Source organism: Homo sapiens, chromosome X (genome assembly GCF_000001405.40).
Source record: "Homo sapiens chromosome X, GRCh38.p14 Primary Assembly".
Taxonomy (NCBI): Eukaryota; Metazoa; Chordata; class Mammalia; order Primates; family Hominidae; genus Homo; species Homo sapiens.
In genome coordinates, this window is record NC_000023.11 from 49270874 (window position 1) to 49295679 (window position 24806).

General features: G+C 48.0%; 1 protein-coding gene across 7 annotated transcripts in view, besides 2 other annotated features; it reads left to right on the forward strand.

Moving 5' to 3' along the window:
- PPP1R3F (protein phosphatase 1 regulatory subunit 3F) overlaps positions 1-24806 on the forward strand; it is a 31677-nt gene that overhangs the window by 1081 nt on the left and 5790 nt on the right. For 2 of the 7 annotated variants that reach the window (XM_005272687.4, NM_001184745.2), the window contains exons 2-4: positions 10533-10588; positions 11111-11190; positions 14961-17217. In XM_005272687.4, the coding sequence (XP_005272744.1) occupies positions 10533-10588; positions 11111-11190; positions 14961-16217 (1393 nt within the window). In that variant the 3' untranslated portion in view covers positions 16218-17217. Of the gene's footprint in view, positions 1-6; positions 6656-10532; positions 10589-11107; positions 11191-14960; positions 17218-24806 lie in introns of those variants that run through there. The other 5 variants (XM_017029932.2, XM_017029933.2, NM_033215.5 and 2 more) reach the window with 5 other exon arrangements.
- Positions 6335-6834: an enhancer, noted in NCBI's record as "H3K4me1 hESC enhancer chrX:49133671-49134170 (GRCh37/hg19 assembly coordinates)". NCBI's record gives its function as "activates a minimal SCP1, AML or CMV promoter by ChIP-STARR-seq in naive H9 embryonic stem cells {active_cell/tissue: H9 hESC(naive)}" and the evidence as "EXISTENCE:reporter gene assay evidence [ECO:0000049][PMID:30033119]".
- Positions 21102-21151: an enhancer, noted in NCBI's record as "active region_29638". NCBI's record gives its function as "activates an Ori minimal core promoter by ATAC-STARR-seq in GM12878 lymphoblastoid cells {active_cell/tissue: GM12878}" and the evidence as "EXISTENCE:reporter gene assay evidence [ECO:0000049][PMID:35858748]".

The window sequence follows — 24806 nt, forward strand, 5'->3', positions numbered from 1 at the left end:
GTAATGTCAGCCAGCGCCACCTCCGCCAACGCAGGGCTGTGTCTGGGATGGAGGACAAGCATTCCGGCCCAGGAACCCCTCAGGCCTGCTCTCCAGGACAGGGAGGAGGGTGCATTGAGTCAGTCAGTCAAAGAGTGATGGAGGTCAAACACGTGCTAGGCACTGTTTTAACTGGGGTTTTATTCCTCCATTTATTGAGTTCCACTGTAAAGCCCTGAACAAGACAGACATCTACCCTACCCTCAAGGATTCATACAGGCTCCTATGGGAGACAGTTTGAAAAAACAAGCAAGCAAGCAGATAGGATAAATAGGGACAAAGTTAGCTGCTGAAGGGAGTAAGGGGATAGATTGGGAGGGAATGACTGTGTCAGACATGCTGTTAAAGGGAGGGCCTTTGAGGAGGTGAGTCCCGAATGATGATAAAGAAGAGTTATGCAGATACGGTGGGGAGGTGGGGGAGAGTTTGTAGGAAAAGGAACAGGGAGGACTTTTCTGAGGAGGTTTCATTTAAACTAAGTCCTGGATGATGAATAACAGTTATGTGCATATATGGAACAAGGGTGTTCTAGGTAGAGGAAACAGCAAGTGCAAAGGTCCTGGGGTGGAAATGAGCTTGGTGTGAATGATCAGCAGTGTGCTGGAGTGGAGAGAACTGCAATGACATAGTGTGGACCAAGGGCTTTGCCAGTGGGGGGTAGAGCAGATTCTCTTTCTGACAGAGCAGGAAACCAGGATTCCAGAGGTGGAGAAACTGGTTGAGGCAGTGATGGCACCTGGCTCTTCCAGTTCACCCATGCCTGACCTTGAAGCCTGTGCACTCTACTGTTAACGCTGTAATCTACTTTTGAGTCCTGTGGAGGCGAGGGGCTGAGCCCATGCTCTCACAAGAAAGCAGTGGCTCTAGCAGAGAGACAGAACCAGATGGGTACTGGACTTGAAGTTTTTGTCCCTTGTTTTTTTGCCACACCACCTGTGATCATTTAGGGACAGGGAGAAATAATCAGTTATACCCCAGGGGGCCCCAGAAGATTTCCCTAGGTTTCCTCTATCAAGCTATGAGTTCTTTAAGGGCAGCAGCTAGTCCTGATTCTTTTTGCGGTCACCTAAGTCTGGCCCAGGATCACTAGATTCTCCCTAAAATGTATACATTTCCCTGTTCCTGGGAGGACTGGGAATGGAAATGGGAAAATGCTTTTTGGACCTTGTATGTATACGCTTGGTCAGAAGCCCCTGGCTGCAGTAAGACATTTGTGGGTTCTGCTGGTTCTGGTAAGGCCTTAGGCTGTGAGTGGTTCAGAAAGGTCTAGCTCCGGTCTGGTGGGCAGATGTGCCTGGGTAACTGAGCAGGCAGGCAGGTACCCACTCACCCACCTGTGAGCCCCACCATAATCTGAGACTTCATTTAAAGGGGGCAGGCAGCATGGTTTTTCTTACAGCATTAAGAGTGTGGATTCTGGCATAGATTGCCTGGGTTCAAATCCTGGCGCTGCCACTTACTGGCCTTGTGACCTTGGCCAACGCATTTAACTACACCATGCCTCAGGACCCTCACCTGTAAAACAGAATTATAGCATCTACTTTACGGGATAAGAGTAAAGGTGCTCAGAACCGAGTCTGGCTCAAAGTAGTATCATACAGGTGTTAGCTAGTGTCAGTATTTAGGGAGCCACACCTACAGTTTCCTGGATTCCTCTCCTAAATTCGGCTCCGCCCATCAGCTGTGTGGCCTTGCCTCCGTTTCCTTCTCTGCTAAGGGAAATGACAGTCACTTTGCATGGTTGGATTGAATGCAGCAAACATGGGCAAGGTAACTGAAGCATGGTGGTAACTGCAAAAGATAACTGGCCAGCATTTACTGATTTCTGTGCTATGAACATCAGATCCATTCTCTCCGTGAGGCCTGCTGTGCATGCTGTGTTGTGTAGGTGCTATGATTATCCCCATTTAGTAGAGGGGAGACAGGTAGCTCAGAGAGATGAGCCAGCTTGCTCAAAGCCTCTCAGCTAGTGAGTGACAGGGCCAGGGAAGAAATGCTAGGGACATTTATTTTTTTCTATTTTTTTTTTTTAAACTGGTCCTCTAGAAAGCGTGGCATGATTCAGGGCAAATTCTGGATTTCACTCTTGGTGTTCCCAGCATGTCGTGCTTTCCTTTTACCTTTTTTTTTTTTTTTGCTTTATCGAGGTATACCTACATAAAGTGTACTGATATTCTGTGTATAGCCCAGTGGATTTGTACATATGTATGCACTTGTGTAGCCACCACCCAGATGAAGATACTGAGCAGGTCCAGTACCCCAGAGCTACCTTCATTTCTATCACTTTCCCAAGCTGTCATCCCCGCCGGCTGTCATGGGAACCCTGTCTGTAAGATGCGACAGTTTGGGTAAAGGAGTTTGGTCATTTTAAAGAGTGTGAAAGGCAGAGAACAGAGAAATCAAAACCTTGCAGGGCCAAGGTGGGTGGAGAGGGTGTTTTTCTTTTAACATACATGGGCGGTTTTAAGGAGAAATTGAAGCAGCCTGTTCAGACAATTGTTTTGGTATCTGGCCCCAGGTCTGTGGTTCCTAACATGACTTGTGATATTATTTTAAGTGGGCAGATGGCTTTTTGATAGCTTCTTTATCTTTCGATCTCAGCTCTTGCAAAGGGGAGGTTGGTGCTCATTGCAAGATCAGCGATAAGGGTTTCTTTGTAGGTCGGTGGCTTTCTTGGTGAGTACATTTCAACATATTATTGTTTTAGAACCTGTGTGCTGCCAGTGACTTGCAGCACTGTTGAAGACTAGCCACCCTTTGTGACCTAGCCCTCTTGGGAAATGGCGGAGGATCTCAGGGTATATCCCTTACCTGTGGGAGCCCTATCAGAGGGCTTCCTGTTGAGGAAATGTTGGCTGTAGGCCCTCTGTGCACTGAGCACAGCCACATCAGGTGAGGGCATGGGAGAAGTCCGTGGTAGCCATCAGGATAGAGTTCAGAAACCCAAATGGCTGCTTTCCCTGGGTTGCTGGACCAGGCATTTGGTAACTCTAAAGCTTAGAGATGATTCATCGACAAGCATTTATTGACTGCCTACTGTGTGCTGGGCACAGTGCTAGGTTCCAGCAGGGAAAGAGATGCAGAGTGGTCCTAAGATGTCACAGGGCTTGTGGGATGGAGTACAGAGGATTTGTTGTATGAGACCTGGCTGAGCCCCTGCTCTTCGCCAGGCACTTCACTGAGTACTATATTTTCATGCAAGGTCTGGTTTAATTCCGACAACATTCCCTGTGAAGTAGAGGGTTTTAAATTTCTCTTTCCTGGATGAGCAAACTGAGGCTCCCAGAGTCCAAAGTCCTAGGGCTGGTGTGGGGAAAAGCCCTCCTGATCTTCCTTGGCACTTGACACTACCCTTTGGAAGTGTCCTATTCTTCTTAAAAGTAAAGACCAAGAGAGCCTCACCATGGTCTTCAAGCACCCTCCCATCCCATTCCCCAATCTGGCCTCCACTGGCTCATAGTCTTAACACCAGTGGTCTTTCTGAGCTCCTGTCACCATGGTCTTTCTGTTACTCCAAAGGGCCTCGCTCCTTTCTGCTGCAGGGCCTTTGCCCCTGCTGTTTCCTTCACCAGGAACATTTATCCCGTACCCCTTGCAGTCTCCTCCAGTGTTGATCCCTCAGTTCTAAGAGGACTTCCCCAGGGGAGCCTGTCCACCCCAGTGTCCTCGGGCCCCTGGCTTTTTCATAGCACTCATCAGCCCAGCACGTGCTAAGCTTTGTTAGAGAATGTCCCATGGCAGAGCAGATGAACATCGCCACCAGTCGAGGGGTCATCGGCCACCCTGCCTAGCAGTTCTACTATATTTTTTTGATCCACTCGTTTCTCCTCTGAAGTGACTCTTTCAAATGTTCTTTACCTTCAGACTTTCTCTCCTGCTTCAAAAAACAAAACAGAAGCCATAAGAATGGAACTCCCTATAACTTGTGGCCCCCAAGTCTGCACGCTGATTTCCCTCCCCTGTGTTACAGATGACGAGGAGTCCCTTCTTGCTCAGGCCACTTCTCCCTCCTGTGCTCTGGGTCCCAGTTTCTGCTACTTGCTCTAGAATCTGACATCATCAGTCACCTTTTCTCTCCTGGCAGGTTTTCTGCTGCCCTCCTTGCTTGATCCTCTATTCACCTTTGCCTGTGCCAGCATCCCTTCTGTCTCCGCTGACCCCACGTTCTCTCCCTCCTGCTTCTGGCCAGCACCTCATCACCCTCCCCTTCACTGCTGACCCCTGCAGAGTTGCCTGTACTTGCCTTCTGCACTTGCTCACCCCCGTAAGTGTTAGCCCCCGGCATCTGCCAGATTCTGCAGGTGGTTTTTTAGTTTTCCTCTTGAAGTGGTTGACCACTCCTACTTAAAACACTTTGTCTTCCCTTGCCTTGAGACCACACTCTGCTGGTTTTCCTCTTAACTCTCTGGCCCTTCTCTTTCTCCTGGCTCTTCCCTTAGCTTCATGTATCCAAACTCGGCATCTCCACTTGACTGATGGCCCAAATAATTCCTCAAACTCACCTTGTCGGGGACTGCATTCATCACCTCTCCCACAGTGTTCCCAAGCAGCCTCTCACTCCCCTACCTCCCCACTTGCTCGTTTTGCTTTTCAGCATCCTTAAGTAAGCCCTGCCTGACCCTGTAGATTGGGCCAGGGACCCTTATTCTAGGGCATTCTTTCCTTTTCTAAAGGCACTGATCGCAGTTTGTAGTTATATCTTTATTAGGGGGTTGCTGGATGACTCTCTGCCCCGCTAGACTGTAAGCTCCGTGAGGGGTAGGGACATGGTCTGCTTTCATTCACCACTGTATTCCTGCAGGCCTGCCACAGTGCCTGGCACTTAGCAGGTGCTCAATAAATGTTTGTTGAAATAATGAGTTTGAGTATTTTTTTAATGTCTTCCTCCATACTGAATTGTAAGCTTCCTAGTTGGGTTTGCTCACCATGGTGTCTCCAGGATCCGTCACTGGGGCTGATGCACAGGAAGGCCCACTGTCTTTCAGTGCACCTATAACTGAAGGGATGGGGATCCAACCTGCTATCTGAGTTGGCAGCCTCAGGGGAAACCAGAATAACTGGAGTTGAACGGGACAAGTCAGGGGCATCTTAGTTTTCTGTAGAGTGAGGAATTAATGTGAACGTGATCCTCTTTTATGCCACAGAAAACTTGGTAGGGCATTATGGTTAAGGACATGGGCCTGAGGCCACGTGCTAAGAAAGTGGCAGAGCTGGGATCTGAGCCTGTGTGGTCCTGCTCTAGTGCTCCAGCTCTTAGCTACTGTACCAGGCTGGGTGATGCATTTTACCAGCAGGGCAACACTGGGCAAGTTGCTTTCCTTTCAGAGCTTCAGTTTCCCTCAATGGAAATTTGGAGGGGGTTACTGTTAAGTGCTTTATAGGTACTTTTCAAATATTTCTTTGATCTGCTGAACAACTCACTGATGTAGGTATTATTATCCCCTCCTTAGAGATGAGGTAACTGAGGCACAGAGAGGTTAAGTAACTTGCCCCAGGTCACACAGCTGATAGGTGGCAGAGCTGGAATTGTTCAAAATTGCATATCCTAACCCTTTATTGAGTTGTGAAATCAATTTACTGGGTTTCAACAAGCATTAAAAAGAAAAAGGAAATAGCATAAGAAATGCCAGTGTATCACCACATGCAGTAAAGGTAAGTATTGTTTCACTCGAAGAACAACCATTTTTCAGTTATTTATATGTCTGTTTACACGTGTGGGTGTGCTGGGTTATGATGTAGAATGGATTTCTTACTATGGGTCGTGGCCAAAGAATGAAGTCATGGCTGTTGAAGAAGCTCATGGCACGAGAAACTGCTCTCCCTCTACCCCACTGGATCACCCGCAAGTCCCAGAGTTGAGGCTGACACACTTGTTGGGGAAGGCAAAGCAGTGCCCCACATAACTTGGTGGCTTTCACAGCCACCTTCAAACCCTGTTCTTTTCAGAAAGCAGATGGCTCAGGGTAACTGCAATTCTGAGTATCGTGGGGCAGGTTTCTGAAGCCACTCATCCCCCCGGAAAGTCAGCGTTATCTTCAGGTTGACTACATGGGAGCCGGGGTCTGCTGAGTTTCCCTTTGGGTTTCAGTGCCTGACCCACTTTGGGCTGGCAAAATTCTTTGAAAACATGAATGCTGGGGGTGCTCCAGAGGACTCGGGTGGTGGTGGCAATGGCAGTCTGTGACTGCTCTGAAAGTCTGCTTTGCTTTTCTCCACAGGGCTTGTCAGCCCTCACCCGCTCGCTTACTCTGTGACTGGCGAATCACCTTTCTTGGCTTTCTTGGCTGGCCTAGGCCGGGGCCAACACCACCTCTTTCCAAATCCTCACCCTCTGGTCTCCTCGGGGCCTATCAGCTTGGCAGCCATTGTGTTTCCTGATGGCCGGAGGAATTTGCACGCCCAGGAGACTGGCGTGCAGGCCTGAGATGGCCCCTTTTAGTCGACACCAGCTTGACTAGTGCTCACTAGCACCCAAATGATGCATGTCCAAGATTTTCCAGATCTGTGTGCCCTGGCCCCTATGGCTCACTGCCCTTGAGGGGATGCCACGTGGTACTTGTGGGGCTGGTGCCAAAAGAACAGGTTTCCTTCTTGAAAACGAGCAGGCATACTGCAGGTACAGTTTTGTTCTTAATCTTCTCCCTCCCCATTTTTCTAAGAACCCCTCTTCTCTGTTACCGATCAGTGAGTCAGTATACATTTGTACTTGATTTCTCTTACTATCCTCATGTTGATTGAAGTCATAGCTGCCCTTGAGTTTTTACTGTGAAAGACGGTTCAAAGATAACTTGTTTCTTTTTAAGCCCACAATTTCAAACTCTCTTCAAAGTGGAGCCCTCCTGGAGTGTTTGTTACCAGCGTGGTTGTGTAGTCAGTGAGTGTAGAGATGCAGTTCCTTGAGTTTTAGTTTTTGCATTTGTAAAAAGGAAGGGTGTTGTTTTGAAGGATAGATGTGAAGGTTTTCAAATGCCTTGGTGTGTCAATGAGAGGGGCCCATGGTGGAGGAGGTGAACAATACATGCTTGTGCTTTCTGCTTTCATATCTGACTTTGGAGAACGACTTGTTTGCTTCTGTCGATGTTGTGGATCTTGGGATTGGCTCAATGGCGTGACCTGCTTTTTGGATGTTCTCGCCCTCCTCAGCCATGGAAAGGGTGCTCTGGGGGCTGAAGGATTGATTGTGTATTTGTTTTTCTTTCTCCTTCCTCCAACTGAATTGTGGAGTCCTTTACCTGCTGGCTAGCTGATTCCTGAGTGTTCTCCTTTTTCTGTCTCACATCTATGACTGCAGTGGCTTTTAGAAGCCTGTTTGTAATATATGTCCGGACTAGGCCAGATGGAGGAGAAGGCTTGCCTGCTACTGCGCACAGGTGGGAGGGCTGGCTTTCTGTCTGTCTGTGGGCCTTCTTGAAGAGGCTTGGTTTAGAAGATCCTAGGAGGAGGATGTTTTCTGTCATGAAGGACTATGGTAACAAAAAGAAGTAAGTTAGTGCAGCCTGGCAGAAATTGTGTTGAAACAAAAGTCCAAAGACCTGGATTTTAGGACCACGGAGGGGATTGGTGTGAGACCAAGCTGGTTTGCTCTGAATCTCTCTTTCTCATCTGTGATGTGTGGGAGGTGGCAGCTGGGCTCCCAGAGTCACCCACCCTAGGCCCTGTAGTATTCTGATTCAAGTACCTCTGGTGGGATTTGTGAGTCCTAGACAGTAGAGAAAGACAGACGGTCCCTTCTAGACTCTAGATCCGTATATATGGTTCAAATGTTCTCCCCGAGGGTGTTTATAGAAAGCAGTTCTTGCAGCCATTCTGTGTCTAGTGGCCTCCTAGCCACGCATGTCCCAGGCCCATGGAGGTAGGGAAATGGGGAATGAATATGTGGGCAAAGGCAGGTCCAAAGAAAAGCCTGCATGAAGGAGGAGGGAGGGATCTTGTCTAGTATTGATGCCTCCCTCTATCTACTTCTAGAAAGGATGGAGATGGGTTGGGTAAGACCCCAGTCTCCCTCATCCAAGAAGCAGCAGCTGACTGGGTAAGAGCCAAAAGGCCTGGGTTGTGATGTGAAGTGTATGACCTTGAGCCATTTACTCAGCCTCTGTTTTATCCTCTGTAAAATGGAGACAATAGTACTGCCTGCTTCAGAGGATTACAAGTACCTGTCTCATAGGGTGATTGTGAGGATTGAATTAACACATGTTGCCCAGGCACCGTGGCTCATGCCTGTAGTACTAGGACTTCGGGAGGCTGAGATGGGAGGATCGCTTGAGTCCAGGAGTTCACGACCAGCCTGGTCAACGTAGGAAGACCCCATCTCTAAAAACAAAATACAAAAAAACAAAAACAAAAACCAAAAAACCCCAAAAACTTCTTTAAAAAAATGTGAAGCACTTAGAACAGTGTGTAATGCCATAGTAGGTACTATGTATGGGTCAGATGGTGATACTCGTTTCTGTGAAGGTAATTGGTTATGGGTTTTCAAAAAGTTTCAACCAGGCCGGGCACGGTGGCTCATGCCTGTAACCCCAGCACATTGGGAGGCCGAGGAGGGTGGATCACCTGAGGTCAGGAGTTTGAGACCAGCCTGGCCAACATGGCGAAACCCCGTCTCTATTAAAAATACAAAAATTAGCTGGCTGTGATGGTGGGTACCTGTAATCCCTGATACTTGAGAGGCTGAGGCAGGAGAATCACTTGAACCTGGGAGGCAGAGGTTGCAGTGAGCCGAGATCATGCTATTGCACTCCAGCCTGGCGACAGAACGAGACTCCATCTCAAAAAAAAAAATTTTTCAACCATTGTCAGAAGTATCAAGAATGTCACATTGCCTCTTAGGAAGAAAAAGGTGTGGGCATTCGCCCCAGCTCCTCTCAGGTTTTAGTCAATGCTTCCCTCATTTACCTTAATCTGTAGACACTTGATACTCATTTTCAGAATAAGAACAGTGACTTCTCCATGATGAGATGCCACCCCTGGGAGGACCCACCTGAAATGCACTCGGCTTATGCCACTCAGGGATCTGACTGGCCTGGTGAAGGAGGAGCAAGACCCATAAATATCTACAGTTGATTCAATCCCAGCTGTGTGTCAGGCCCTGATTTCTGGCTGTCCATCCTCATTCCTCTTGACTGCCCTGTGCTTAGTGCACATCCTGACTCCCCGGGGCTCTGTTTTATGAGTGAGGAGGTGAAGCGACCTGCCAGGCTGATACGGGGACGAGAGGGTTAGCATAGGGACCCAGGCCTCTGTGACCTCCCTCCCAGTCTCCATTTGCATTCCTTCCTCTGCCTCACAGTCTTGTCTACCTGCCATTTCTTAGAAAAGGTGTTTTTGTTTTGTTTTGTTTTGTTTTGTTTTTGTGAGATAATCTCTCACTCTGTCGCCCAGGCTGGAGTGCAGTGGTGTGATTTCGGCTCACTGCAATCTCTACCTCTTGGGTTCAAGCGATTTTCCTGCCTCAGCCTCCCAGGTAGTTGGGATTACAGGCGCCCACCACCACGCCCAGCTAATTTTTATATTTTTAGTAGAGACGGAGTTTCACCATGTTGGCCAGGCTGGTCTTGAATTCCTGACCTCAGGTGATCCACCTGCCTCGGCCTCCCAAACTGTTGGGATTACAGATGTGAGCCACCGCGTCTGGCCCTTTTTTTTTTTTTGAGACTGAGTTTCACTCTTGTCCCCTAGGCTGGAGTGCAATGGCGCGATCTTGGCTCACTGCAACCTCCGCCTCCCAGGTTCAAATGATTCTCCTGCCTCGGCCTCCCAAGTAGTTGGGACTATGGGCGTGCACCGCCATGCCCAGCTAATTTTTTGTATTTTTAGTAGAGACAGGGTTTCATCATGTTGCCCAGGCTGGTCTTGAACTCCTAACCTCAAGTGGTCTCCCTGCCTCGGCCTCCCAAAGTGCTGGAATTACAGGTGTAAGCCACCACGCCCAGCCGAAAAGATGGGTTCTTCTATCTTTTCTCTTTCCATAGCCAGGAATGTATCCTAAAGAAATGATACAAGTGTCGATAAAACTATGCCCAATGCTGTTTGCTGGTTTGCTTTGCAACCTCTAAATGAAAGAACTTAGCTGCTCAGTAGGAAGGGAATGGTATGATATGAGTATTAAGCAGCCATTTGAAATGTTTGCAAAAGTGTATAATGATGTTTCTTACTGTTAAATGGACAAAGCTAGCTGTGAAATTATGTCTGTAGAATCTAAATGATTTCGTAGAATATCTGGAAGGAAATTTTCCAGAATGGTAACAGTAGTTGTCTCTGGCTGATGTGTGATTGTTTTTCTTGCTTCTTTAGACTTTCCTGTATTTTGCGAATTTTCTATAATGAGGCTGTAGGACTTTTAGGATGAGGGGATAAACAAAGGCAGCAGAAGAGAAAACAGCAGCTGTCAGGTGAAGGTGGGCTAGCACAGAGGCTCAGAAGGTGCCAGTGGGTGGCAGAAGTGACCTCTCAGGGTATTATTAGATCCATGTACTCTCTCCTCTGCCCTGCAGGCCTGCCGAGGAGGAACTGAAGACGAAGAACATGGATGATAACACCTTTGCCATGGGTAAGCAATTGGCAAGCTTCGGAAGTTTTAGCTTGTATTTACCATGTCTTTCTTCCTACTGTTTTTCTTTCTATAAAAATGAAAAAGGCTGGGCTCAGTGGCTCATGCCTGTAATCCCAGCACTTTGGGAGGCTGAGGCAGGAGGATTGCTTGAGGCCAGGAGTTCGAGATGAGCCTGGGCAACATAGTGAGACCTCATCTCTTAAAAAAAAAAAAAAAAGACGGGCATGCTGGCATGCATCCGTAGTCCCTGCTACTCGGGAGGCTGAGCTGGGAGGATCATTTGAGCCTGGGAGGTTGATGCTGCAGTGAGTCATGATTGTGCCACTGCACCCCAGCCTTGGTGACACATCGAGACCCTATCTCAAAAAAAAAATGAAGGGGTACCCTCTGCTTTAGATTGTCACAGAAAGCTTCAGAGGCAAAACTGCCAGTTGGCTAGGATGGCAGATTTTCTTAACAAAACCATACCTACTTGTATGCCTGTCTTGCCCAATGCTGCCTTTCTCTTCCCTCTAGCAGAGCATCCTGATGTCCAGGAGTCAGTGGGTCCACTGGTAGCCCCCACCCCTCTCCGTCCATGGCCCCAGATGACACTTCAGGTAAGTGGGTCCTTGCAGCCTTGGAGTAGACAGCCCAATAGGAGGCTCACAGTGTGACTATTGCTGGGCTGGGTGGTGGGGCCCACTAGCTCTGGGTCCTCCCTGGGTTGGAGGGAGGGCACAAAACTCAGAACCTGATGGGGGAGGGGGAGAATGCAGTTACTCAGCTGGGCTTGTAGAAATGTCATTTGTTAATTTAGCAAAAATTTATGGAGTGCTTGTTCTGTGCTAAGCACTGTTACAAACATGCAAAAACGCTCTTTGAGGGGGCTTATGTGTTAGTAGGGTGAGACATGATAAAGTAATAGAATATATGGTACTTTAGGTGATGATGAGTGATAAGGAAAAATAGAAAGGAATAGGGAGTGGGTGAGAGACTCTGTGTGTGTGTGTGTGTGTGTGTGTGTGTGTGTGTGTGTGTGTGTGTGTGTTGTGGGCGGGGGTCGGTTGCAACTTTAGATTGGGTGGCCTGGGAAGGCTTTAGTGATTAGTGAGATCTGAGCGAAGATCTGAGGAAGGTGAGAGAGTGAGCCACGTGGATAACTAAGGGAAGAACATCCCAGGCGAGTGTGAAGTTCCTGAGGTGAGGCCATGACTAACGTGTGTGAGGGACAGTGTAGAAGCCAGCGCAGCAGGGGCAGAACGAGGGAGGGGGAGAGTGGTGCGGGGTGAGGGAGAGAGGTGGCTGAGGACAGATTGGGTGGTGCCTCACAGGCCATGGTGAAGACTTTGGCTTTTACTCCGAGTGAGGGGGAGCCGCAAGAGCATTGTGGACGGAGGAGGGATGTAATCTGATTTAGGATTTAACAGGCTCCCTCTGGCTGCTGCTTGGAAAATAGACGTCAGAGTAAGGGTGGAAACAGGCGACTCGTGAAGGGGAGGCCACTGCAGTGGTCCAGGCGAGAGTGATGGTAGGTAGGGGAGGTAGAGACATTTTGGAGGGTGTGTGTGTGTGTGTGTGTGTGTGTGTGAACTTTTTAATTACAAAAAGTTTCAAACATACAAAAGTAAAATAGTATAATGAACCTACGTACACCATCCCCCAGCTTCAGTAAATATCAACACGTGCTCATTCTTATTTTATCTGTACCCCGTCTCCTCCCTCCCATTCCCTCTGGAATTATTTTGGAAGACATCCAGACATCATCCCATCCATAAATACTTCTGTTTGTATCTCAGAAAATTAAGAACTCTTTTTTGTTTTTTTTTTTGAGACAGAGTCTCACTCTGTCACCTAGGCTGGAGTGCAGTGGTGTGATCTCAGCTTACTGCAACCTCTGCCTCCTGGGTTCAAGCAAGTACATCCAGCTAATTTTTGTATTTTTAGTAGAGACGGGATCCGTTGCCTTGGCCTCCCAAAGTGCTGGGATTACAGGTGTGAGCCATCACGTCTGGCCAGAAAATTAAGAATTCTTAACCCCACAATACTATCATCACACCTTAGAAAATAAACGGTAATTCCTCAGTATCATCAAGTATTTGGTCAGTGTTCAAGTTTTCTTCTCTCATAAGTGTTTAGGATCCAAACAAAGTTGACATGTTGCATTTGATTGATGTGTCTCTTTAGATTTTTAAAATCTCCCCCACTTTGTTTCTTTGCAATTTGTTGGTTGAAGAAACTTTGCTTGTCCTGTAGAATTTTCCAGTCTGGGTCTGGCTGATTACATCCAGGTGGAAATACATTTCTTACTCCATTTTTATTAATTTATTAATTATATTAATTAATGTAATCTTATTAAATTTATTTAATTTATCAAATTGTATTAAACGAATGTATTTAATCTTTTATTATTAAATTAACTAGAATTAACTCTATTTAATTCTATTATTCCCACTTCCTTTATTAGCTAGAATTCTTCTCTAAAGAAAAACTGTCCCACACCAGCTATTTGGCTACTTTGAGATATAGTTTGTGCAGAAAAAGCAGTGTAAATATTTAATTTTTTCCATTTTATTTACCAGTTTTCAGAGAAGTACTACTACAAAGGTGACCAATAAAAGGATTTTTGGTTTTGTGTCATTATGAACTCATGAATTCTAAACATATTTGAATGAGTTTCAATCCATTGCACTTATTTGTTTGCTTTTTTTGATGCTTAAATTGAACTATCCCTGGCTAGTAGGAGCTTATTGAGATGGGCTACTCTGTCCTTTTGACACGCCCTCATCATTCTGTGAGCCTTTCTCACATCTTCCATGACAATATGTGCTAGGTTCATCCTGTACTCTCCCTGCCCCAAGCCTGGAAACAGCCATTTCTTTCTTGCTTTTCTTTTCTTTATTTTCTTTTTCTTTTTCTTTCTTTTCTTTCCTTTCCTTTCTTTCCTTACCTTTCCTTTCTTTCTTTCCTTTCCTTTGTCTCTCTCTTTCTTTCTTTTCTTTTACTTTATTTTTCTTTCCTTTCTTTCCTCTCTCTCTCTCTTTCTTTCTTTTTTCTTTTTCTTTCTTTTTTTTTTTTTTTTTTTTGAGTCAGAGTCTTTCTCTGTCGCCCAGGCTGGAGTGCAGTGGCACAATCTCGGTTCACTGCAACCTCTGCCTTCTGGGTTCAAGCAATTCTCCTGTCTCAGCCTCTTGAGTAGCTGGGATTACAGGCACATGCCACCACACCCGGCTGATTTTTGTATTTTTGCAGAGATGGGGTTTCACCATGTTGGCCAGGCTGGTCTTGAACTCCTGACCTGCCTGGTGATCCACCTGCCTTGGCCTCCCAAAGTGCTGGGATTACAGGCGTGAGCCACTGAGCCTGGCCAGAAACAGCTATTTCTTTAAGGAGCACTGATTCCTTTCAGTGGAGAGTGGCATTCAAAGGCCAAGATTTGGGGGCTCGGCATGCTTGCTGCTACTAGATTGGTCATTGTTTCTAGGCCCTTTCAAAAGATGGAGCTAGGAAATAATTGTTTTTTAAAGAGAAGATGATACATCATGGGTTCATATGGACATCCTGGCTATGTTTTGGGATTTTTTTGCATTTTATTTTTTTTAAAATTTTTTTAATTTTTAATTTTTGAGGGGACATAGTAAGTGTATATATTTATGGAGATGTTTTGATATAGGCATGCATTGTGTAATAATCACATCATGGAGAATGAGGTATGCATCTCCTCAAGCATTTATCCTGTGTGTTACAAACAATCCACTTACACTCTTTATTTTTTTTTTTTTGAGACAAAGTCTCTGTCGCCCAGGCTGCAGTGCAGTGGCACAGTCTCGGCTCACTGCAATCTCTGCCCTCTGGGTTCAAGTGATTCTCCTGCCTCAGCCTCTTGAGATTACAGGCGCACAACACCACGCCCAGCTAATTTTTGTATTTTTGGTAGAGACGGGGTTTCACCATGTTGGCCAGGCTGGTCTCGAACTCCTAGTTTCATGTGATCCGCCCGCCTTGGCTTCCTAAAGTGCTTGGATTACAGGTGAGAGCCACTGTGCCTGGCTACTTACACTTTTAGTTATTTTAACTGGCTCTGTTTTGAAGGTAAGCCAGCAGTATTTAGTGATGATCATTCACCAAATATTCACACCCACCGAATTCCTCAGCTTTATAATCTGCAAGAAGCCCTGTTTTACTGCATCCAATTGTGTTATTTTACCATAGATGACAGTCTTTGGAGTCTAGACAGTGACAGAGGGCGCTTTAAGGCATTTTTATATAGAAACCCCTGTGGGGCTGGCTGTGGGCTGTCACACTTCTTACTGTCTCTGCTTGTTCCATCCCCTCCTCTGCTTCATTCCCTTGCTTTTTCTCTGCCCCCTTGCCCCGGCCATGGCTCCAGGTTTCTGACGTTCCGATGACTGGCAACCCCGCAGAAGAAGGTGATGTCCCCAGAAGCAGTCCACCTGTGGCTTTTACAGAGGTCCTCCAGGCACCGGCCATCAGGATTCCCCCCTCCTCCCCTCTCTGTGGCCTGGGTGGCTCCCCCAGAGACCAGGCCTCAGGGCCCGATGCGAGCGAGGGGGCCACCGGGCCTTTCCTGGAGCCCAGTCAGCAGCAGGCAGAGGCCACATGGGGAGTATCGAGTGAGAATGGAGGGGGGCTGGAGGCTGTGAGTGGGTCAGAGGAGCTGCTCGGTGAGGACACCATCGACCAGGAGCTGGAGCAGCTCTACCTGTCTCACCTGAGCCGCCTACGGGCTGCTGTGGCTGCGGGTGGGGCAGGGGGTGGTGGGGAGGGCTCCACAGATGGAGGGATGTCCCCCAGCCATCCCCTGGGCATACTGACGGACCGCGACCTGATCTTGAAGTGGCCTGGCCCTGAGCGGGCCCTGAACAGCGCCCTGGCTGAGGAGATCACGCTGCACTATGCCCGGCTGGGGCGTGGCGTGGAGCTCATCAAGGACACCGAAGACCCTGATGATGAAGGGGAGGGTGAAGAGGGGCTCTCTGTCACACCCTCCAGCCCAGAAGGGGACAGCCCCAAGGAATCGCCTCCAGAAATCCTCTCCGGGGCCCGTTCTGTGGTAGCCACGATGGGAGATGTGTGGCTCCCATGGGCAGAGGGCTCAGGATGTGACGGCCCTGTGGTTCTGGGTACAGAGGGTCAGTTCATTGGGGATCCTGAGAAAGGGATGGGCAAGGACACCAGCTCTTTGCACATGAATAGGGTGATAGCTGGGGTGACTGAGTCCCTGGGGGAGGCCGGGACAGAAGCCCAGATAGAGGTCACCAGTGAGTGGGCAGGCAGCTTGGATCCCATATCTGGCAAGGAGCCAGCCTCTCCCGTCCTTCTGCAGGGGCAAAATCCCACCCTCCTCAGTCCCTTGGGGGCCGAAGTCTGTCTCTCTAGTGTAGCCAGGCCTCATGTGAGCTCCCAGGATGAAAAGGATGCAGGCCCAAGCCTTGAACCCCCAAAGAAGTCTCCCACCCTAGCAGTCCCTGCAGAATGTGTGTGTGCACTGCCTCCTCAGCTCCGGGGGCCCTTGACCCAGACTCTGGGGGTCCTGGCCGGGCTAGTGGTGGTCCCTGTGGCTCTGAACAGCGGTGTGTCCCTCCTGGTGCTTGCGCTGTGCCTCTCTCTGGCTTGGTTCTCATAGGCTCTGCTTGTGGGATCAGCAGAGGCTTAAGATGGGATACATGGCCTGTGCAGTGAGGGGACCTGGGTCCTTTGCTTCTGAGAATGCTCAACTGAAAGAGAGGCCTTCTCATCCCCAAGCTCTCCAGTCAACACAGGGCTCCCTGTGGTGACACCAGTGGAGATGAGGGAACGGGTAGATGGTGTGAGTGAGGGGAACTTTTAGAGTGGAACTGGGCATGTCCTCCGCCTACCCCCCGAGCCTGTATTTATTTTTGTATAATTCTCTGGATGAGGGAGAGTGGTCGTGAGCTGGTCTTGGGGCACAATTACCCAGAGATATATTTATTAACAGCCAACCTGTGCAACCTGCTGGAGCTTTATTTTTAATTTAATTTATATAGAGTACCTATTATTATATGCCACAATAGAGCTCTATGAGAAACAGTGTCTTGCGGTGTAGTGTTCTCCTGTTTGGGCATGAGTGTGCAGGGTGGTCACTTTCTGTGGGAGGATCACAGTGGGGAGTTGGGGGTGGGACGTGGTCGCCTGCTGCTGCTTCAACATGTCTTTCCTTGAAGATGTGTGTCTCCTCGTCTCGTGGTCCTAATCCATATGGTTCTTTGTCTTTTCCACATTCTGCCTGTGGGACCCTACAGGTGTGTATTTGGATGGTGGTGGTGGGAGCCAGGGAGGAAGAGTGGCAGCCACATGAGGGTTTGGTGTCAGTCACATGGTTGCAGTGGTAGCTGTGGTCTCCTGTGGATGTGGGGACATCAGTTGTGAATCAGCCACAAGGTTTTGAGGTTACTGAAAAAACAGCCTTTGACACCAGCAGGGAGACCCCTTAGTCCCTGAGATAAGGAAGGCCTCAGAAAGGAAAGAGGAGTTAATGTACTGCAGTACTTGGTAGCACAGTTGCTGTCCACAGACATCACATTTCTACTAAAAACAGGAAGCCCAGAAGCTTTGAAAGAAAGATATATATTTATTGCATGCAAATAAAAAACTGCTCAACAAAATAAAACACCACATATTTATTTACTTCCCTTTACAGCAAAACCTATTGGAAGAAATATCTATACGAGCTTTCTTCAGTTCTTCTATGATGCCTTTCTGAAATAGCCCCAATCAGATCTTTTTTGCCCAACCATTTCAGCAAAACTGCTGAAGATATTCACATTGTTATAGCCATGGTTAAGTCTCAGATGTCATCTTACTTGGGATATTGGCAGCATTTGACATAGTTGATCATCTCTACCTTGCAACCCTTTCTTCACTTGGTTTCCAAGATACCACACTCTCCTCATTTCCCTTCTTCCTCACTGGCCACTGTGCAAAGCTGTCAGTTCTCTTGAAACTGCTTTGTAGGTTCAATGCAAATCCAACCACAATTCCAATAGAGTTTTGCCTGTGTGTAGATCATGACACATTAATTCTTAAATTTATGTAGAAGTGCCAAGACTAGCCAGGACACTGATACTTATTGTAATGGTATATTCAGATGGCACGATATTTTTGCAAGAGTAGACAAATCGACCAATAAAAAAACAGTGATCTCGGAAACAGTGTAGACACACTCGTGTAGACACAGAACTGGTGACCAAGGAAGTGTGTTAGACCAGTGGGGAAATGATTGGATTTTGAATAAATAGAACAATTGGTTACCCGCATTGAAAAATATGAACTTGGATCCCTACTTTACAACACAAATAAAAATAATTCTAAGTGGGTTTAAAGCCTAAATGCGAAGGGCAAAACCAAAGCGCTTTAAGAATACAATGAGGCAGGGCCGGGTGCTGTGGCTCACTCTTGTAATCCCAGCACTTTGGGAGGTCTAGATGGGCGGATCAGGAGTTTGAGACCACCAGCCTGGCCAACATGGTGAAACCCCGTCTCTACTAAAAATACAAAAATTAGCTGGGCATCCACCTGTAGTCCCAGCTGTTTGGGAGGCTGAGGCGGGACAATCGTTTGAACTCAGGGGGCAGAGGTTGCAGTGAGCCGAGATGGCACCACTGCACTCCAGCCTGGGCCACAGATCGAGACTCCATCTCAAAAACAAAACAAAACAAAAAACAAGGCAAAACACCTTCGTATACTCATGGTAGCAAAGTTTTTCTTCATCACGACACAGAAACAACCATAAATGAAAATTACGAAACATTCAGTGACCTTAAAATTAGGAATGTCCATTGATCAAAAGACACCATAAAGAGAGTGAAAACCTTATGTAGTAGGTTGCTATGAATAAAAGCAAAACAAAAAGGAGTGAAAACACAAGTGAAAAATTGGGAGGAGATAATGGAATCACATATAACTGATGAAGGGCTCAAACCTTAGATGCCAATAAGCATCTAAATAAATTGTGGTATATTCGCAGAATGGAATATTGTATAATGAGAATGGAAGATCCATAACTGCACGAAAGCATACAGATGAATCACAAAAAGCCAAAAAAAAGCTTCCACACTGATCCATTTATGCAAAGTTCACAAGCAGGCAAAACTCATGAATTACCACCTAAATGGTGACATTGTAAAGAAAAGCGAGGGGCTGATTACCAGAGTCAGGATAGTGTTCACCTCTGGCAGAGGGAGGGATGTGGCTGAGAAGGGGCCCAGAGGACTTCTGGGATGTCAATAATGGTTCACTGCTTGACCTGGGAGACTGTTCATGGATGTGCAATTTATTCATCATCATTAAAACAGACTTATGGGCTGGGCGCGGTGGCTCACACCTATAATCCCAGCACTTTGGGAGGCTGAGGCAGGCATATCACTTGAGGTCAGGAGTTCGAGACCAGCCTGGCCAATGTGGGGAAACCCCGTCTGTACTAAAAGTATAAAAATTAGCCGGGCGTGGTGGTGGGCGCCTGTAATCCCAGCTACTTGGGAGGCTGAGGCGGGAGAATCACTAGAACCCAGGAGGTGGAGGTTGCAGTGGGCCGAGATCGCACCACTGCACTCTAGTCTGGGCAACAGAGCGAGACTCTTGTCTCAAAAAAACAAAACAACCCCCCCCATACATTTAGGTTTTATACACTCTTATGCAAAGACCTCACAAGTGAAGCAGAGTGCAGTGGGAAGTGGGAGTAGCATGAGTGTCCGAGACTCCTGCACACAGGCTTGCAGAGACTCCAGCCTCCTGGTGTGAACCACAGTGTAGGCGGCCTCCTTCCTGCAGAACAATCCCTGGGCTCCGGGTCTTGCCTTCTGTTTGTGGAGATCGACTAGTGGGGAATCCTCTATCGTGTGCCCCTGACACCAGCCATAGAGTGGGGCCTCTTGGGATGGACAGGACCTGCCCATATTGTCCTCAGATGTTGGGGTCCATCTCCCCTCAGGCCTCATTCACACCCACAATAGCCCAGGACACATGGGCTTTGGGGCCTGGTGGGCCTCATAAAAGCCTGGAACCCCGAGCCCTGGTGGTGTGACCTTGGGCAAGTCACCCGTCCTAGACCAGCCTCAGTTCCCCATTCATAAAGGGGGCTAATGCCCATCAAGCAGGGTAGGTGCAGGCTTTGGGGAAAACGTTGTACTGCCCTCCTCCTGAGCCCATGTTAGACAGGTCTTATAGTCAAGGCAGGGTAGGAGGGTGGACAGGAACAGGGGCTGGAGCGACACAGTTTGGGACTAAATTGCCCAGGGTCACACAGTGGGCAAGTGGCTTCAGCCCTCTGTGCCTCCCTTTGCTCGTCTGTCATCAGGGTAATAACTTTTCCTCCTCACAGGGTTAAGTGAGGAAGAGGTGAGATGACTCTTCAGTCACTGAGCAGTGCCAGGCACAGGGCAAGACTGAGTACACGCCCGTTGTCATTCCCCCTGGCTGGAGCTCTTGCAATCACTGTTATGCCCCCACCCTGCCCTCTCCCATTAATCTGTTAATGTGGTGAATTACATTGATAAGTTTGTACATCTGTCTTTTAAAATTGAGACGCAATCTTGTTCTGTCACCCAAGCTGGAGTGCAGTGGCACAATCACGGCTCACTGCAGCCTCAACCTCCTGGGTTCAAGTGATCCTCCGACCTCAGCCTCCCGAGTAGCTGGGACTACAGGCACATGCCACCATGCCCAGCTAATTTTTATATTTTTACTAGAGACAGGGTTTTGCCATGTTGCCCAGGCTGGTCTCGAGCTCCTCAGCTCAAGCAATCCACCTGCCTCAGCCTCCCAAAGTTTTGGGATTACAGGCATGAGCACGTCCAGCCTACTTTTCTCTCTCTCTCTCTCTCTCTCTCTCTCTCTCTCTCTCTGTCTCTCTCCTTTCTTTCTTGACGGAGTCTCGCTCTTTCTCCCAGGCTGGAGTGAAGTGGCACATTCTCAGCTCACTGTAACCTCTGCCCCCTGGGTTCAAGAGATTCTCCTGCCTCAGCCTTCTGAGTAGCTAGGATTACAGGCATGCACCACCATGCCCGACTAGTTTTTGTGTTTTTAGTAGAGACAGGGTTTCACCATGTTGGCCAGGCTGGTCTCGAACTCCTGACCTCAGGTGATCCACCCGCCTCAGCCTCCCAAAGTGCTAGGATTACAGGTATGAGCCACCACGACTGGCCCTACTTTTCTTTTTTAAAATTTTAGTGGTCAGTTACTAGATAAACTCTATTTTTATCACCCATTTACAGGTGAGGGCCTTCCATGTTCTTATCAGCCCTGAGCTCAGCCCTTTGCCGAGGCCTTCCTGGTCCACCTCTCCCTCCTCCTTGTGACTAGGGCCAGCATCTTAGTCTCACAGTGGCCCCTTCTCTCTCTGTCCTCAGCCTTCAGCCCTGCTATCACCCACCCGCATCCTACAACCCCTCTGCTTCCCCTCTTCAGTGTTTTTTGTCCAGGATGAGACCAAGTCCAAACCTGAGCTTCCTGCTAAGTCAAAGTGACTTTTTCCTTTCAGTCAGGGAAGCCTGACTAAAGCGTCTGGTCCCACGGTGAGGTCTTGGTGTCTCCAACAGCGCAGCCATGGACGGCCACCCTACAGTGATACCTGCCTTTGCCAGCAGGGGGCATCTTATCTCCAAGACAGGGAAAGCCTCAGAGAAGACGGGAACAGTCTTAAACGTTAACTGCTTGTAGGGTCACAGGCCTCAGGGTGCATGAGCTCCAGGCTGGGTGTCCCTTGGAGCCTCCCTCTCTGCATGTGGACAGGTGGGGGCAGCCGAGGGCCTGGCTTTTACTGTTGTTCGGGGTCTTCTACAGATGACTCTCCTCCTCCTCCTCTTCCTCTTTTTCCTTCTACCAGGAACTCATTTCCATCACTAAAGAGAGGTTCTCATATTTTTAATCCTCTTTATCTCACTTAAAGGGTCCATTATAGGATTTTTCCACAAGATGCACTGGCTCTGAGGCCTGTGCCCAGGGCAGGTCAGGCTATAGATTGGCCAGGTTGGCCAGGTTGGCCAGGTTGGCTGAGGGCACCAGCCTGGATCCTGAAGACACTGGAGACAGCCCCAACAGAGCCTGGGGCTCAGGAAAAGGCCACCAACCCCCCAGCCAGATCCTGGCCAGCTGCCAGCTCCGCCTCCACCCAGTCCTCTCCCAGGGCCTGAACGCCGGGTCTAGAAGCTCCAGGCCTGGTGGTCTGGGGGAGACACGGGCCGGGAGGATCCCTCGAAAGAGGAGGCAGGAGACAATCTCTGTATGGCTTGAGGGATGCACAGCTGTGGGGTGAGGCACGCCCCACCTAGCACAGGCCCACTGACACTGCTGTGCAGCTGCAGGCCCAGCTGCTGCCCTCTATGGGGCTCAGTCTCCTCACCTGTGCAATGGGCATCATTACACCCCCAACGTGCAGGGGATGCTCGTGAATGGAGGGGAGCCGAGGCGTTGAGAAAGTAGATTTGGCTCAAGAGGAGGAGGAGCAGGTCAGGGTTGGTGGGGAAGGATGGATGCGGCCACCTCAGGCATGGCCGGGGCTGCCTTCCTCAAAGTGCTCAGGACAGTCAGGTGGGGGAAGTTCTGAGTCTGTGAGCAGAACCGTGGGCTGGGGACCAGGTGAGGTTGTCTCTGTAGTGTTCTGGGGTGGCCAGCCACTGTGCCACTATTCTTTCCTGTTGGTCCTCATCTCTGCCCACGGGGAGCCCCAAGATGCTCCAAGAGCTCACAGTGAGCTCATGTGAGTTACTGTGACCCACATGCAGTCATTACAGCCATGTGTCATCATCACAACAGCCACCAGGTTAACACTTGGATAATTTATCCAAATAACGACTCACCTGATGTGATTTGCATGATATGCCATCATTTATTATTATACTCCTATTGGATGTTTAGGTAGTGTTCGATTTGCTTTTTTGCCACTATAAACTATCTGTGGTGAGCATTGTTTCCCATATATGTAAACTTGGGAGAGACACAGGAATGTTTATATAGTAAAACTATTTGTAATAGCAAAATACTGGAAACAACCCAATTATACATCATCAGGAAATGCATAAGTAAATTATGCTGTATTGACATCATGGAATACTACACAGCTATGAGATGGAGTGAACTAAGGTACACAAAGACACAATGTTAGGTGAAAGAAGCCAGATACAAAAGAGGAGATGATATATGCTTTTCATATATGGCTCAAAACCAAACAAAACTAGTATTTAGGCATACATACACCTGTGTTAAAACAGTTTTACAGAAAACAAGGATTCTGGCCAGTCGCGGTGACTCACGTCTGAAACCCCAGCACTTTGGGAGGCCGAGGTGGGAGGATCACTTGAGTCCAGGAGTTTGAGAGCAGCCTGAGCAACATGGAGAACCCCATCTCTACAAAAAATACAAAAATTAGCTAGGCATGGTGGCATGCGCCCATAGTCCCAGCTACTCAGAGGCGGAGGAGGGAGGATCACTTGAGCCTGGGAGGCAGAGGTTGCAGTGAGCCAAGATCGGGCCACTGCACTCCAGCCTGGGTGAAGGTATGAGACCCTGTCTCAAAACAACAACAACAAACAACCAAACAAGCAAAACCCCACACAAGGATTTTCAACTGCTTGATTGATACCATTTAAAAAATTTATTTAAAAAATTGTCACAGTAGAATTTACTTTGGGGGAGTTTCTATGAATTTTAATATGTGTAGATTCATGTAACCACCACTGTAATTAGTATTCAGAACAGTTCTATTACCCTAAAGAACTCCATTGTGCCTCCCCTTAGAGTCACTCCCTCTCCTCACCCCCTCACCCACGCAACACTCCATCACTACATTTTTTTTTTTTTGAGATAGCGGCTCACTGCAGCCTTGACCTCCTGGGCTCAAGTGATTCTCCCACCTCAGCCTCCCGAGTAGATGGCACTACAGACACATGTGCCACCACACCCAGCTAAATTTTGTATTTTTTGTAGAGATGGGGTTTCGCCGTGTTGCCCAGGGGTCTCGAACTCCGGAGCTCAAGTGATCCGCCAACCTCGGCCTCTCAAAGTGTTGGGAGTACAGGCGTGAGCCACTGCAGCTGGTCAGGCCTTTCAATTACAATGTTGAATAGCAGGAGTAAGAGTGGACATTCTTGCCTCATTTCTGATCTTAGGGAGAAAGCATTTAGTTTTTCTCTATTAAGTATGATCTAAGCCAGGCAGGGTGGCTCACGCCTGTAATCCCAGCACTTTGAGAGGCTGAGGGGGGGTGGATCATGAGGTCAGGAGATCGAGACCATCCTGGCTAACACGGTGAAACCCCGTCTCTACTAAAAATACAAAAAATTAGCCAGGCGTGGTGGCAGGCGCCTGTAGTCCCAGCTACTCGGGAGGCTGAGGCTGAGAATGGTGTGAACTCGGGAGGTGGAGCTTGCAGTGAGCTAAGATCGTGCCACTGCACTCCAGCCTGGGCAACAGAGCGAGAATATGTCTCAAAAAAAAAAAAAAAAAGTATGATCTAAGCTGTAGGTTTTTTTTTTTTTTTGGTGGATGCTTTATATCAGGTTAAGAAAGTTATCTTCTTGTTTGCTAAGAGTTTTTTTTAAGATCATGAATCAATGTTGAATTTTGTCAGAAGCTTTTTCTGCATGACATGATACGATTATGTGGTTCAGTTACTTTCGAATGTCAGTATGGTAGATTGCATTTATTGATTTTTATTTTATTTTATTTTAATTTGTTTTACTTTTTTGAGACAGAGTCTCTCTGTCACCAAGGCCGGAGTGTGGTTGTGCTGTATCAGCTCACTGCAACTGCCTCCTGGGTTCAAGCAATTCTCGTGTCTCAGCCTCCCAAGTAGCTGGGACTATAGGTGTGTGTCACCACACCTGACTAATTTTTGTATTTTTAGTAGAGATGGGGTTTCCCCATGTTGGCCAGGCTCATCTCGAACTCCTGGGCTCAAGCGATCCCCCCACCTCAGCCTCCCAAAGTGCTGGGATTACAGGCATGAGCCACTGCACCCGGTCACATTGATTGATTTTTGAATATTGTGTCAGTTTTGCATCCCCAGGATAAGCCTCACTTGGTCATGGTGTCTTATTTTTGTATATTGGATTTGAATTGGTAATATTATGTTGAGGATTTTTTTTTCATCTATGTTCATGAAGGAAGTTGGGCTGTACTTTTCCCATACTTTCTTTTTTTCTGGTTTTGGTATCAGGGTAATGCTATTTGAGAAGTGTTCCTGTCTTATTTTTTGAAG